Below are 15218 nucleotides of genomic sequence, written 5' to 3'. Positions count from 1 at the left end.
CAGCTGGAGTGGGCGAGGCATGCCCACCCGGGCCCAGGCGCAATGAAGACGCGAGAGGAAGGCTGAGCGCAGAGCGGCGCGGCCAGGGTCCCTTGGCTCGGGCCCGCGCCCCGTCTCCCCGGGGTGGGGCAGGGTGGGGGTGTGCCGAGGCGTGGACTTGGGGAAGCCTCGCAGCGCCGGGAATAAAAGGGCGCCGGCTTGCTGTGCCGCGCTGGGAAGCCGAGCTGCCTCACCCCCGGCCCCGGGAAGGGCATGGCCCCGGCAAACTCCCGGCCGTGACTCGCGCGCCCCGGCTCGGTGGATGCTCCCGGCGCACCGCTCCCGTGTGCGGCGGCTTCCCAAGGACAGGTGAGGACCCAGGGTGGCCAGGGCGCCCCAGGGCTGCCGTGTCTGCCTGCAGGGGGTGAAGGGATTTGAGACACCCAAGGGAAACACTGGGGGTAAAGGGCCTGCATGCAGGCAGATTGCACCGTTCCCCAGCACTGTTTGAAGTTGCTAAGAAATCAGGATACCTGAATTCCTGCAATTTTAAGTAGCTAAGGATCAGATAGGGAGGAGAGCCGGATCTTGAAGGAGGATGCACTGAATAGGTCTAATTAAGCCCAGACATCCCATGCCTCCTTTCCTCCCTCTCCCCAAAGCGCTCCCCATCCCTGGCTCTCTCTGGAGACCTTCAACCCCGCCATCCCGCGTTTCTAGGAAGCTGCCAACGGAATTCCTAAGTGAAGCCCACTCTGCTCTTGCAATCGGTGGGGGAAAGGACGCTTGAGGAGCCTCTTTCCAAGTTGCTCAGGCTGTGGCTACTTCAAGTCTCCTCTCCCTCCTCTCTTCCCCCTCTCCTTCCCCGCCTCTTTCCTCCTACTCTTACCCAGGCTTTCCCTGGAAAGGGGACAGCCCAACGCCTAGAGTGATCCGAGCCATGCAAAAAAACCGGGACAGTCATCACGCAGACAAAAGGGGTTTGGTGTCCGAGTCCCGGGCGGCGGGGACTCGCAGGGCCACCCCAGCCGCGTTCCGGGAAAGCTCGTAATTCATCCCGCAGCCAGCTCGACGCGACCCAGCGGACTCTGGAAGCCGGCCAGGGGCTCAGGGCTGCCCGCCCGGCCACTCCAGGTTGTCTGCCCAGGGCCAAGACGAAAGCAGACGGCCTCACGCCCCCACCCCTGCTTCCCGGCGGGGTTCGCAGACCGTCTCTGGCGGCCTAGCTGGCGCCAGGCCGCTTTCTCCGCGGCGGAGAGACCCGACCCCGAGTCCCCGGGATTAGGGTTGTCTGGGGGCGAGTTTCCTGGGTCTCCCGGGAGGTTGGTGCCGGGGTGGGAGGCCGGACAGGGAGTTGGGGCTGAAGAGTCCTATGGAACGCCCGGGCCAAGTCCGCCCGCAGGCACAGGACGCTGGGGACTGGCGCGGCTGCCCTTGGAACCAGCCCAGCGCCGAGGTCAGGCGCGCAGGCAGGGGCGGGGAAAGCCCGGGCTCTGGCGAGAGAGAAAACTCCGAGGACTTTTGCAGAGCTGCAGGAGCCGGTTTGTTCCAGCGCCCAGAGGCGGAGCCCGGACTTGCTTTTTTGCAAAACTACCTGTGCGCCATCAGTTCTTTATGGGCAGCTGAAGGGAGACGCGCCCCCGGGCTTAAGAGAATAACCTTTTCTAGGTCACTTAAAGGCAGGAAAAGCTACAGGTTTGGGATGTTCCTCTCTTATAGGAAGGATTTTAGAATTTTATTTTTATTTTTTGAGACGGAGTTTCGCTCTTGTTGCCCAGGCTGGGGTGCAATGGCTCGATCTCGGTTCACCGGAACCTCTGCCTCCCGGATTCAAGCGAATCTCCTGCCTCAGCCTCCCGAGCAGCTGAGATTATAGGCATGCGCCACCACGCCCAGCTAATTTTGTTTTGTTTGTTTGTTTGTTTGTATTTTTAGTAGAGACGGGGTTTTTCCATGTTGGTCAGGCTGGTCTCGAACTCCTGACCTCAGGTGATCCGCCCGCCTCGGCCTCCCAAAGTGTTGGATGACAGACGTGAGCCACCGAGTCCGGCCTGGGTTTTAGAATTTTAATCAGCAGTTCGCGCTCGTTCAGAACCCGGGCGAATGGGCAGGCGCGTGTTTGTTGTGTATCCCTATTTACTTTCCATGTGTGTCACTATTTTTAAGTGAACGCCATTCAAGAGATGACAAAAATGTTAGATGACATAGGCATTGCCAGGACAAGAAGAAAATGATCACCGCCATTCTAAATGAAGTAGCTGATGCAATCTAGCTTTACCCGAGCTTTTCCATTTTTTAGTGACTCCATTTTTTTCTGTTTGCCTGAATATATTTCATAAGCAGTCCCTTCCTGTTTATTGAATGATCAGAGGTTCCCCCAAACTTCCTCCCCGATTAACAGCAACTCTATATCATCAAAAAAACTCTCTGGCTTTTCCAAGACAAAAACATAAGGATAGTAAATAAACCCAGAAATAACAGGATGAATATCCTTCTAGCAAATACCTCTTTAAGCTCTTCAAGAAGCTAGAATTAAAGGTTTGAAAAATATCATTAAAGGAAAGAATACGAATAAACACTTCTTGGGAAGTTTTAAATTCAAATATATGCAATATATAATGGCTCAGTCTTGTTGGAGGCAGAAACACAATATTTTATTATTTTTTAATTATGGATACATAAATATAAACCTCTTTCTTCTCTCTCTCTCTCTCTCTCTCTCTCTCGTCTCTCTCTGTTTCATAGCCGCAATTACAGAGTGCAAGATAGATTTCCAAATCATAGTATCGAAGCCAAGAATCAAGACTATATTCTATAGTCATGATTAAAGTGAATGGTGAAAAGTTTAGAAAAAAAACCATGTTTCATCTTTCTCAATTCCCATGGTTTAAGCGTCACTACAACACATCGTGTGAAGTCCTGGGAAGCTTGAAACCCTGATGCACAATTCAAATTTAAAAATTGCCCACAGTTCGTCGGTGCTACCTGTGAATAAGCTCATCTCTTCGTTGTTCTACCTCAGGTATCCGAGAATCAGGCACCCCGACAAGATGCCCAAGCGCGCGCACTGGGGGGCCCTCTCCGTGGTGCTGATCCTGCTTTGGGGCCATCCGCGAGTGGCGCTGGCCTGCCCGCATCCTTGTGCCTGCTACGTCCCCAGCGAGGTCCACTGCACGTTCCGATCCCTGGCTTCCGTGCCCGCTGGCATTGCTAAACACGTGGAAAGAATCAATTTGGGGTTTGTACCACTTTCTTCCCGAACCTTCCCACTGTCAGTGCGTGCGTCTTGATCTGGTTTTGCGTGTGTGTATGTGCATTTACTTAACTTCATATGTGCATTTCCTCTGTGTAGCTCTGTCGAGAATTATGGAGCTGCAGATGGGCAGAATAGAGAGAAAAAGTTTTAGTTATGCTAAACGCAGCTTTTTCGATGATTATCTCAATATATCCATCAGCTGCCACTGCTGTAAGGTCTATTAACGAGCAGCATGAACAACTTTAGAGTTTGTTGAGAAATTCCCTTGATAGCATTTCTTTAATACATTGTTGAGGTGAATGCATGAGACACACACTTAAACATATGAAGATGATTTAAGTAGACTTCAGCAACGATTTAAGAATAATAAAAATAAGCAGAACATCTGTGCCATTTTATAAGTCATGTAGATGATAGAATTGCGACTTTGAGGCAATAAAAGAGTTCCTGCAGATTTTGCCTGTTAAAAATATCAACGTCTTTTTAAAAACCTATTTTGATGTGGCTTGCCAGACAGACTTTTAATATACTGGTTTCATTTTATACACACGAGGGTTGTGTGGACCGAAGTGTTAGTTGCTATGAACTACAGGTGCTCAACTGCAATTTTAATAGTCAACAATCATTTGGAGTTCGTCAACAAAATATAATAGCTACTTTTTAGCATCCATCCCCAGAACAACTGATTAAATTAGTGTTTGTGAAATATCCACCATGGAGATGTTTTAGTAAAAATAAAATGGCCAGATTTGAGCCAATGCAAAATAACTGTAAATGTACCTGGACATCTTATAGAACAAAGTTAAAAGAAAAAACTCTCCTCCATTGACAGTGGTAGAAGAAGAGAATGAAACATTGAGATAATAAGATGGAAATTTCTCTATCGACAGTGGTAGAGTCAGGGAATGAAGTGTTGAGGGAGTAAGATGGAAACTTCCCTGTTGACAGTGGTAGAATAAGAGAATGAAACGTTGAGGGAATAAGATGATAATTTCCCTAACCCATGGCAACAGACCATTAAATAGGTTTCTCAATGAAATGCTGTTAGACTTTATGAGTTGACCATCTGAACATCCAACCACAACAATGATAGCTCATTGGGGAAAACAGCTTGGCGTTGGCAGAGGAGGGAATAGTAACACATAAGCCAGCTTCCCTTTTTACAATCTTGTAATTTATCGGACACATTTCTTGTGTAATGGAAGTAAGAAAAAGGGAAGAGGTGCTAAAGCCCATTAGTTTTGTTTATTTATTTATTTACTTAACTTTAAGTTCCAAGATACATGTGCAGAGTGTACAAGTTTGTTACATAGGTATATGTGTGCCCTGGTGGTTTGCTGCACCTATTGACCTATCCTCTATGTTCCCTCCCCTCAACCCCCACCCCCCAGCAGGCCCTGGTGTGCGTTGTTCCCCTCCCTGTGCCCATGTGTTCTCAATGTTCAACTCCCATTTATGAGTGAGAACATGCAGCGTTTGGTTTTCTCTTTCCCTTGTTAGTTCGCTGAGGATGATGGCTTCCAGCTTCATCTATATCTCTGGAAAGGACACGATTTCCTTCCTTTTTATGGCTGCATAGTATTCCATGGTGTATATGTACCACATTTTCTTGGGCATATGGGTTGGTTCCATGTCTGCTAAAGCCCATTTGAATCCTGGGGGAAGGTGCGTGTGATATTTGCAGAACAGAAAGTGGGGCTTTAACTGTAACTTCTTTTTCCTCCACCCTTGGTGTGCAAAATGGCTCTGTCTAGGAATTGTTTTTTATACATGAACCATTTTAACACATGGTCTAACTTGCTGGGATTAGCCACCTCATCTCTCAAACCCAGCACCTTGGCAGGTCCCATGCTGGGGGTACCATCAGCCAGGCCTTGGTGGAGCCCTCTAAAAAGCTTGGGGTTGATGCAGAATGTATATATTTTATATATATTATCTTTATAATATATATAATATATAATGTAAATATACATATTATATAATATATAATATATGTATACTATATTATATATTATATATATTATATATAATAATAATATATATTATATATATTATATATAATAATAATATATATTATATATATTATATATAATAATAATATATATTATATATATTATATATAATAATAATATATATTACATATATTATATATAATAATAATATATATTACATATATTATATATAATAATAATATATATTACATATATTATATATAATAATAATATATATTATATATATTATATATAATAATAATATATATTATATATACATAATATATAGTAATAATATATATAATGTAAATATACATGTTATATATAATATAATATGTATATTATATATATTAATTATATATTATATATAATTCTATTATATATTATATATATAATTATATAATTATATACATTATATATATTATTATATATTATATATAATAATTATATATTATATATATTATGTATATAATATATAATATATAATATATGTATAATATATAATATATTATGTATAATATATTATATTATATTATGTATAACATATTATGTATAATATAATATATTATATAATATATAATATATATTATACACAATATATATTATACATTATATATATCATGTATAATATATATTATACATGATATATAATATATATCTATTATACATAATATATATCTATTTGCGGTGCTTCTTGCACAGCAGGTTTGTGTGTTTGTGTTGTGTGTTGGGAAGGGGGATATCAGGCTGGAAATGAGGGTGGAGACAGTCCCTGCATGCACCCTCCCCAAAGAGGTGATTTGTTTAATGGCTTGAGACTTACAGCACCAACAAGACTATTACTTCTGAAGTTGTTTGCATCTCATTTACAGTTTCTGGGATGCTTTTCTTCCCGTTCATTTTTAAACTGAAGTACTTTGTAAGTGCAAAACATAACTAACCTCTAAATTACAACACCATTTCTGATGGTTTCATTTTAAACAACTCACGATAAAGATTGACTTTAACGTAGGAATAAAACAGACATACCAACATGTTAAAGTTTCTTTTTCCTATTGCTGCCAGTAATATCTAGAGATAGTTTTCTGTAATATTAAAAAGAAAAGAAAAAGTTTAAAACCCTAGAGAATCACTTCACTGCATCAACATCTATTACTTCCATCTGGTTTAATTTGTAACAGGAACTAATATACTACTTGAAAAAAATCACTAATAATATCATAATAGCATTGTTTCAGAAAAATCAATCTCAAATTAGGTAATGAGTCTGGCATCTTGCATTTTGTTGGGGAAAAAACTGAAACAAGAGCAATGTCTAACAGATAAAACTCAGAGATTGATTTGTGTTTTAACAGTCTGGAGAAAATATAAGACTCTCAAGGAATGAGGAATTGTTGGCCAAGTGCTAATGAAACCTTCTATTCCCACACAGCTGTTTTTAGGGTTCTTTGTCAGCATTGCTGTTTCCTGCTTGGACAAACTAAAAGCGTTTCTGAAAATTGCTTTCCAAATATTTTTTTTCAGGAACCAACAACATAGCATCCACCTAGAGATGGATTTACAGACTCTTAAGTATTTTTTTCCCTCTATTAAAAGACTGGTTTTGATGATGCCTTTCTGCAACTTCAACAATGCCCATACTTGCCTATTTTATTTTAAGTTCTGCCTTGTGATATTAACCGGAACCGAAGACATAATTTTGCAAATATTGTCTGCCATAAACATTTCACAGAGTTGGTTATACATTCAGTGATTGCCAATCAATAGGCGATGAAGATAGTCTGGAATGTAAGCCAAGGGGCTAATAAGCCATAGAACTGCACTTTATGCAGGGTCATCCCAGTCTCCAGTTAGATTCTGTTCCCTGAGTGTCGTGCTAATTTCCCAGACTCTGCTGATTTTTAGAAGGATGCAAGAAGGGGACATGTATACCCTTGGGTTCTGAGAGGGGGTACTCAAGTGATTCCCTGGGCTTCTGTATGTTCCAGAATATCCGCCCCATTCTCACATCTGGCACCCTTGGCATCTGCATCTGCAAGCTCTCTAATGCCCCTTAAAAACAAGCAGGGGGGTCCGGGCACGGTGGCTCATGCCTGTAATCCCAGCACTTTGGGAGGCTGAGGCGGGTGGATCACGAGGTCAGGAGATCGAGACCATCCTGGCTAACACGGTGAAAGCCCGTCTCTACTAAAAAATTCAAAAACATTAACTGGGCGTGGTGGTGGGCTCCTGTAGTCCCATCTACTTGGGAGGCTGAGGCAGGAGAATGGCGTGAACCTGGGAGGCAGAGCTTGCAGTGAGCCAAGATCGCGCCACTGCACTCCAGCTTGGGTGACAGAGCGAGACGCCATCTCAAAAAACAAAAAAATAAAACAACAACAACAACAACAAAACAAGCAGGGGCAAGATGACAGGGTCAGGCAGGTTTCTGAGCTGATGTGGAGCCCGTCCCAGACTTTGGGTGCCTTCCTGAAAGGGGAATTTATTCAGATGTGAAGGGAAATCAACCAGTATTATCCTTTGTTCCTATTTTCCCTTCTTCTCCACCTTGATAGTTGTGATCAAAATTCTCAGGTTAAATTTGACATTCAGCTATCCATGGCTTTAGTATGAGCCATTCTGTTTTTCTCAATATCTATCTATCTATCTATCTATCTATCTATCTATCTATCTATCTAACTATCTATCTATTATCTATAGTCTGCCTATTACTTGTCTACCTACCTATCATCTATCTCTATCATCAATCAACAAATCTATCTCTCTACCTGTCTATATCTATCTACCTACCTATCTATGTATCTATCTATCATCTATCTGTCATGCATCTGCCTATCACCTATCTACCTACCTATCATCATCAATCAGCCAATCTATCTCTCTACCTACCTATCATCTATCTATCAATCTATCTATGTATCATCTGTCTGCCTATCACCTACCTATCATTGATCTCTATCATTATCTATTGATGTATCTATTCTATCTATCTATCTGTCTATCATCTATTAATCTACCTATCTATTCTCTATCATCTATTTATCAATAATCTATCTACCTACCTATCATCTCTATCAATCAATCTATCTCTATCATGTATTCTATCTATCTACCTATCATCTATCATCTATCTATCACCTATGTACCTGTCATCTATCTTTATCATCTGTCTAGCTATATATTATCTATCTATCTATGTACCTATCTATCATCTGTCTGGCTGTCTATCTATCTATCTATCTATCTGTCTATCTATCTATCTATTTATCATCTGTCTGCCTATCTATCTATCTATCATCTATCTATGACAATAGTTATCAACAATGGATGAGTTTGCCCCTGGAAAACATTTGGCAACATCTGGAGACCTTTTTGGTGACCACAACTATGGAAGGAGAACATATCACACCCTTGAAGTAAAATGTGCTGAGGAACATCCAGCTGTTTCTGACCCATTTCAGAGACAGAGCCTCAGAGCCCTATCTCCTCTGTCTGAAGATCTGCCTCCTTCTTCTGGGCTCCGTTCAGGTGATATTATTTACTCCCAGGGCTCTATTCCATTGGTCGGTTGGCCAGTCTCCCCTGAACGTGCATCATGGGTCTCCATCTTGGTCTTGAGCCCTATTCTCCCCTTAGATTCTTACAAAATTCTCAAACATCCCATGGCAAATACAGCTTTGAATTCTTTCCCCAACACCTGTCTCTCCCAGCCTTTGCTGTCCAGCAAATGATAGAATCCACCCACTTACTCCCCTCCAAGTAGAAGTCCTTCCCCCAAGTTTGTCCTCATTCCCACTCCCACCACTCAGCAATGCCTGCTGGCTCTTCCTCTAAATACATTCGGAAATGTTCTGTGTGCCTTCATGCTTACTGCCACACCTGGTCATGGATCCAACATCCCTCAATATCTCTGCAGGATTCACCTCATTTCTGCCTCCCTCCCTTGCCCAGCTCTGACACGTTCTCCAGGAAGTGGCCAACATTGCTGTTTTAACACATACTTCAGTTCATGGATGAATAGATATATAATTGATATATAGATTATAACAGATAGATGCTTGATAGATGATAGGATGATAGATGGATTGATAGAGAGGATTATAGATAGATTGATGGATGATAGGTAGGTATAGGGTAGGTAGATAGATAGATAGATAGATACAGACAGAGGGACAGATAGACAAATTTGCACGTGCTAAGGCAAAGTTACCAAATTTCTGCAATCTTGATGTTTAGGACTGAATCAATGTGGGTTGTAGGGGCCATCGTGTGCATTACAGGATGTTGAGCATCATCTCTATAGAGAACAAATCAATGGCCGTGCCATAAAGTGGGCAAGCTTGGTGAGTCTAAGGAACAGAAAGATGGCCAATAACTCTGAACTTTATGGCCAACAGCAAAATACCAGAGAGCTAACTAGTTGTCCACCACGGAATATTCTTCTAAAATGATGAGGCCATGCCCAAACGTCCCTTTGTTTCTTAAGCCCTACTTCAAATCTCAGCTCCCCAGAGAGCCCTGCCGTAGACATCGGCCAACCAAACCCCTTCTACTCTCCTTCCTGTGCTTTAATTATTTCCTTATGAAATTTACAACTATCTGAAATGATCTTTTTCATTATTTTTACCTTTCTAGTCATGCTTCTTGCTAAGAGAGCTGAGCCCTTGCCTATTTGGTTGACCCACCCAGAATAGTAACTTGCAGACACACAAAGCTCAAATTATAGCTGTGACTGCGTTGCAGAATGAATCCATGCATGTAGAATCTGTAGCAGACATCGTTTCATATTGAGCGAAGTTCAAACAGCACCTGCCTTATTTTCCTTTTGATTTCTCCATCTCTAAAAGCATTAGAACTTGTTTTCAGAGCCCACTACATCCTGAAGGCACATACGAAGCTGATCTGTACAAAGTTTTTGCAATTTTTTAAAGTAAAATTCAAATGACATGGCATTCACCCTTGTAGCCTCTACAATTCAGTGCCATTTAGTACATTCAAACTATTGTGTATCCATCATCTCTATCTTGTTCCAAACATTTTCACCACCCCAAAAGGAGACCTCATATCCATGAAGCAGTCATTCTCTACTCCCTCTCCTCCTCCAGCCTTTGGGAACCACTGCTTTGTTTTCTGTCCCTATGAATTTGACTATTCTGAACATTTCATATACATAGAATCATACAATAGATCAGCGGTCCCCAGCCTTTTTGGCACCAGGGACCAGTTTTCATGGAAGACAATTTTTCCACAGACAGGATTGTGGAGGGAGTAGTTTTGGGATGACTCAAGCATATCACATTTTTGTGCACTTTATTTCTATTATTATTACATTGTAATAATATAATGAAATAATTCTACAACTCACCATAATGTAGAATCAGTGGGAGCCCTGAGCTTATTTTCCTTCAACTAGACAGTTCCATCTGGGGGTGACAGGAGACAGTGACAGATCATCAGGCATTAGATTCTCATAAGGAGTGCGCAACCTAGATCCCTTGCACACACAGTTCAGAATAGGATTTGTGCTCCAATGAGAATCTAATGCCGTCACTCATCTGACAGGAAGTGGAGCTCAGGCAGTAATGCCAGCAATGGGGAATGGCTGTAAATACAGATGAAACTTTGCTGGCTCACCCACCACTCACCTCCTGCTGTGCAGCTTGGTTCCTAACTGGTCCGGTACTGCTCTGTGGCCTGGGGTTTGAGGACCACTGCAGTACGTGACCTGTAGGGCTTCTTGCAGTGAACAACATGGTTCAAGGGTCACCCACATGGTAGCCTGTGTCAGAGCTTCATTCCTTTTTGTAGTGTGCATCTTGAGCAATGATTACTGCCACTGCATAGTGATTTTGCAGAAAATCAATTTAAAGAGTGAATGAGAATATGTGCCATGTAGACTTCTACTCTGTCGTCGGCATTTCTGAAATGTACATTTAGACTCTCTTTGCTTCTCACTCACGTGCATTGCATTTTTCCTCATGGCTGTTATTTCAGTCAAACAAAAACCTCTGAACAATTCTGAGGATGCCATCCGCAAACATACCCTGTAAGACCTTCTTGGCCCTCTCTTGTGTGCTAAATCATCTGTGCTTGTGTTTAAATAAGAAGAAATAAGGTATTCTTTTAAAAATAAAAATGGCGGCCAGGCGCAGTGACTCACGCCCGTAATCCCAGCACTTTGGGAGGCCGAGGCGGGCAGATCACCTGAGGTCAGGAGTTTGAGACCAGCCTGGCCAACATGGTGAAACCCTGTCTCTACTAAAAATACAAAAATTAGCCAGGCGGGGTAGCACACGCCTGTAGTCCCAGCTACTCGGGAGGCTGAGGCCAGAGAATTGCTTGAATCCGGGAGGCAGAGGTTGCAGTGAGCCGAGATGGCGCCACTGCACTTCAGCCTGGGCGACAGAGGGAGACTCTATCTCAAATGAATAAATAAGTAAAATAAAAATAAAAAAATAAAAAATAAAAAATGGCAACTTAGTATGGTCATTATCCATGATTGACACTTCATTTACCCACAAGATGGGAACTTAAAAACCCTGCAAACACAGCAACAACAACAATAATGTCCCCATTATAGAGGAGAGGAGACTCTGAACGACGCTGAATGCATCCAAGAATACACAGTCACTATGGTAAAACACAAGGATCTTGAGACCAAAGCTTTACCTTGCATTCAGGGACGATTAACTGAGGCGGGAGAGGCTATCAATATCTACTTGACACTTTATTTTATTTAGTGAGTTGAAACATATGGAATCAGGGTGCAAAGTTCCTGGAAAGATAACGTAGCAAAGAATGAATTAGAAATGTATCAGGTAGATTTCTACTCTGGAGTCAGCTGAAATCAGGTCTGAAATTGGTCATTTGAGTGTCTCTGAGAAGAATCATTGAATGGACATGTTTACGAATATTATGATTCCTGTATGATTTTTACATTATTCATATTATGTATAAATTTTTGAACATCTGAATATGTTTTCATTGAATGTCTTTATTCATATAACATATTGCTCATTATTCCCCTGCCTAACTACATTTTAGTTGCCATTTTTAACTCACGAATTCTTAGCATGTCTCTTTTTGTGTCTTGCTTGGCTGTGACTTTCCCTTTGATCTCCCTGGTATCAGCCTTGGTGTACCTATTCCCTCCAGAAACTCTGTAGCAGTCCTTGACACAGAGCAATGTCTGAGTGGCTACAGACATTATGTCCTTTAACCCACACAGGGCTCTCTGAAAAAAGAATCCTCAGTAGCATTACTAATGAAGAGTTTGAGCTTCCAAAAAGCTTGGTAACTTCTCTGGGATAGCCAGCGGGCAACGTGAAGTGTGCCTGACCTCAAAACATGAGGCCTAGAGGGTGTGGTGGCTGACATCTGTAATCCCAGCCCTTTGGGAGGCCGAGGCGGGTAGATCACTTGAGCTCAGAAGGTCAAGACCAGCTCGGGCAACATGGTGAAACCCCATCTCTACTAAAAATACAAAAATTAGCCAGGTGTGGTGGTGTGTGCTTGTAGTCACAGCTACTTAGAAGGCTGAAGTAGGAGGATGGCTTGAGCCCAGGACACAGAGGTTGCAGTGAGCCAAGATTGTGCCACCACACTCTGGCCTGGACAACAGAGCCAGACCCTGTCTTGAGAGAGAGAGAGAGAGACCTTTCTATGCTTCTATCTCACCTCTAAGGATCTCACGTCTACACACTGGGACCTCCTTTCCCCACCCAGCTTGCAGTAGTCAACACCTTCCTTCCCCTTTATTATACTCTGCAGGAAACTGCTGAGCTCATGATTGGAAAAAATGCACCTCTTTCTTCTCTTACTTGGAATTTTACCCACTGAGGAGGTTCATGGTCCTTAACATGAAATAAAGCTTCATGCCCTTGAATTTCACTTATCTTTGCAGCATTATATTTCGGGGAGTTTTGCACCATGATTCCATGAATTTGAACTCACTAAATAAAATAATGTCAAGTAGATATTGACAGCTTCTCCCACCTCAGTTAACAGTGTCTGAATGCAGGTTGAAGCTTTGGTCTCAAGATACCTGGATTTTACTCTCACTGACTGTATTCTTGAATGCATTCAATGTCTTCTGTGAGTCTCCTCTTCTTTGTAAAGGGGACATTATTGTTGTTGTCACTGTGTTTGCTTGTGGAATATTTAAGTTCCCATCTTGTTTTAATAAGACCAAAGTACCACTAGGTAATAGGAAAAAAACTTTGGAATGGAACATTGCATGGTTTATCCTCTTTTTTCCTATTCCTTGAAAATTTTGGAAAGTTTCTTTTTTTCTTTCTTTCTTACTTTTTTTTTTTTTTTTTTTTTTTTTTTTTTGATATGGGGTATTGCTCTGTTGCCCAGGCTGGAGTACAGTGGCACAATCACAGCTCTCTGCAGCCTCAACCTCCTGGGTTCAAGTGGTCTTCCCTGCTTAGCCTCCTGAGTAGCTGGGACCACAGGCATGCACCATCACACCCAACTAATTTTTGTATTTTTTGTAGAGATTAGGTCTCACTATGTTGCCCAGGCTGGTCTTGAACTCCTGGGCTCAAGTGATCCTCTCGCCTCACCCTCCCAAAGTGCTGGGATTATAGGCATGAGCTGCCATGCCCAGCCTGGAAACTTTCTTGAAACTCAGTTTCTGCTGTGGAAAGTTGGCCTGCTTCATGGGGTTTAGGTGATAAAGGGCAAAAAGTAATACAAAGAGGACAAGGCTCAATTCCAGCTAAGTTTCCCACCTTCTATGGAATCCAAAGCATGTTCATAAGGTACACACATAGCTATGAGCCCAATTCTTTTAATATTTTACCTCTCACCAGTGTTAAATAAAGCAGAGCTTAGCTGACAAGACACTGGAGTAATGCACTAAAAAGAAGAGTGAAAAATATCATGTAATCAAGAAGAGAGAACCACTATATATGATTGTTCATTGACTACATGAGTCAAAATGATGAACAGGAAATAGGATCATCTTCTACTATATTTTCCCCATACACCATATTGAATCTATACAACATTATTTCAATAAGGTGGGATGCATTTAATTCCATCTGATGTTTTCTTTGCATAAATTTATCTTAAAAAGAAGAATGTGGCCGGGCGCGGTGGCTCACGCCTGTAATCCCAGCACTTTGGGAGGCCGAGTGGGGCGGATCAGGAGGTCAGGAGATCGAGACCATCCTGGCTAACACGATGAAACCCCATCTCTACTAAAAATACAAAAAATTAGCCGGGCGCGGTGGCGGGCGCCTGTGGTCCCAGCTACTCGGGAGGCTGAGGCAGGAGAATGGCGTGAACCTGGGAGGCGGAGCTTACAGTGAGCCGAGATGGGCCACTGCACTCCAGACTGGGCGACAGAGCGAGACTCCGTCTCAAAAAAAAAAAAAGAAGAAGAATGCAATTATGAAAGGAGGTCTTTGAAAAGTTTGATGCAATCAAGGTGAATGGTTTTTGAGGGTAGAGCTTATAAATTTCCTGCACTCAAAAATTTGTAGCTGAAAGGTGCTTCCTAAGGCTGGGTCTTAGGGGAGTCACACCTAACCTGGTGTTTCTGTTGACTTTGGAATTGTAGTCCAGGTTTGAGCACATATGAGTATGAGAAAATTGGACCATGCTAGTATCTGCTGCATTTAGCTATGAGCTGTTCACTTATGTTCCCTGCTAATTGATTTCCTTTTATGTAAGTGATAAGAAGAAGCAATCAGTGATATCAGGCTAGATGTGTTATGTCTCAGCAGAAACAGTGATTTATGGTAACAGCGTGCAGGCTTCTCTATTCCTTTTTCAAATTGCTTATCCAGGGATCAAGTTTAAGCATTGTTGTATGCTATTACCAATATGGCAATGAGAAATTTCTAAATTGGTCAAGAAAGCATCTTGACAATTATATACACAACAACAAAAAACCAAAAATTTAAAACAAAAAGAACTTATCTTGAGGACAGGTTACAGGAAGAAACAAAACAAACAAGAAACCTAGCATGTCTACGAGT

General features: G+C 42.2%; 1 protein-coding gene across 1 annotated transcript in view; it reads left to right on the top strand.

Moving 5' to 3' along the window:
* Nucleotides 211–15218, top strand: part of MXRA5 (matrix remodeling associated 5) — a 38088-nt gene continuing 23080 nt past the window's right edge. The window contains exons 1-2 of the mRNA NM_015419.4: nucleotides 211–348; nucleotides 3002–3217. Of these exons, the coding sequence (NP_056234.2) occupies nucleotides 3030–3217 (188 nt within the window). The 5' untranslated portion in view covers nucleotides 211–348; nucleotides 3002–3029. The remainder of the gene's footprint in view (nucleotides 349–3001; nucleotides 3218–15218) is intronic.

This window comes from Homo sapiens, chromosome X (assembly GCF_000001405.40).
Source record: "Homo sapiens chromosome X, GRCh38.p14 Primary Assembly".
Classification (NCBI taxonomy): Eukaryota; Metazoa; Chordata; class Mammalia; order Primates; family Hominidae; genus Homo; species Homo sapiens.
The sequence above is the reverse complement of the archived record's forward strand: the minus strand, read 5'-3'. Positions and strand labels throughout refer to the sequence as shown.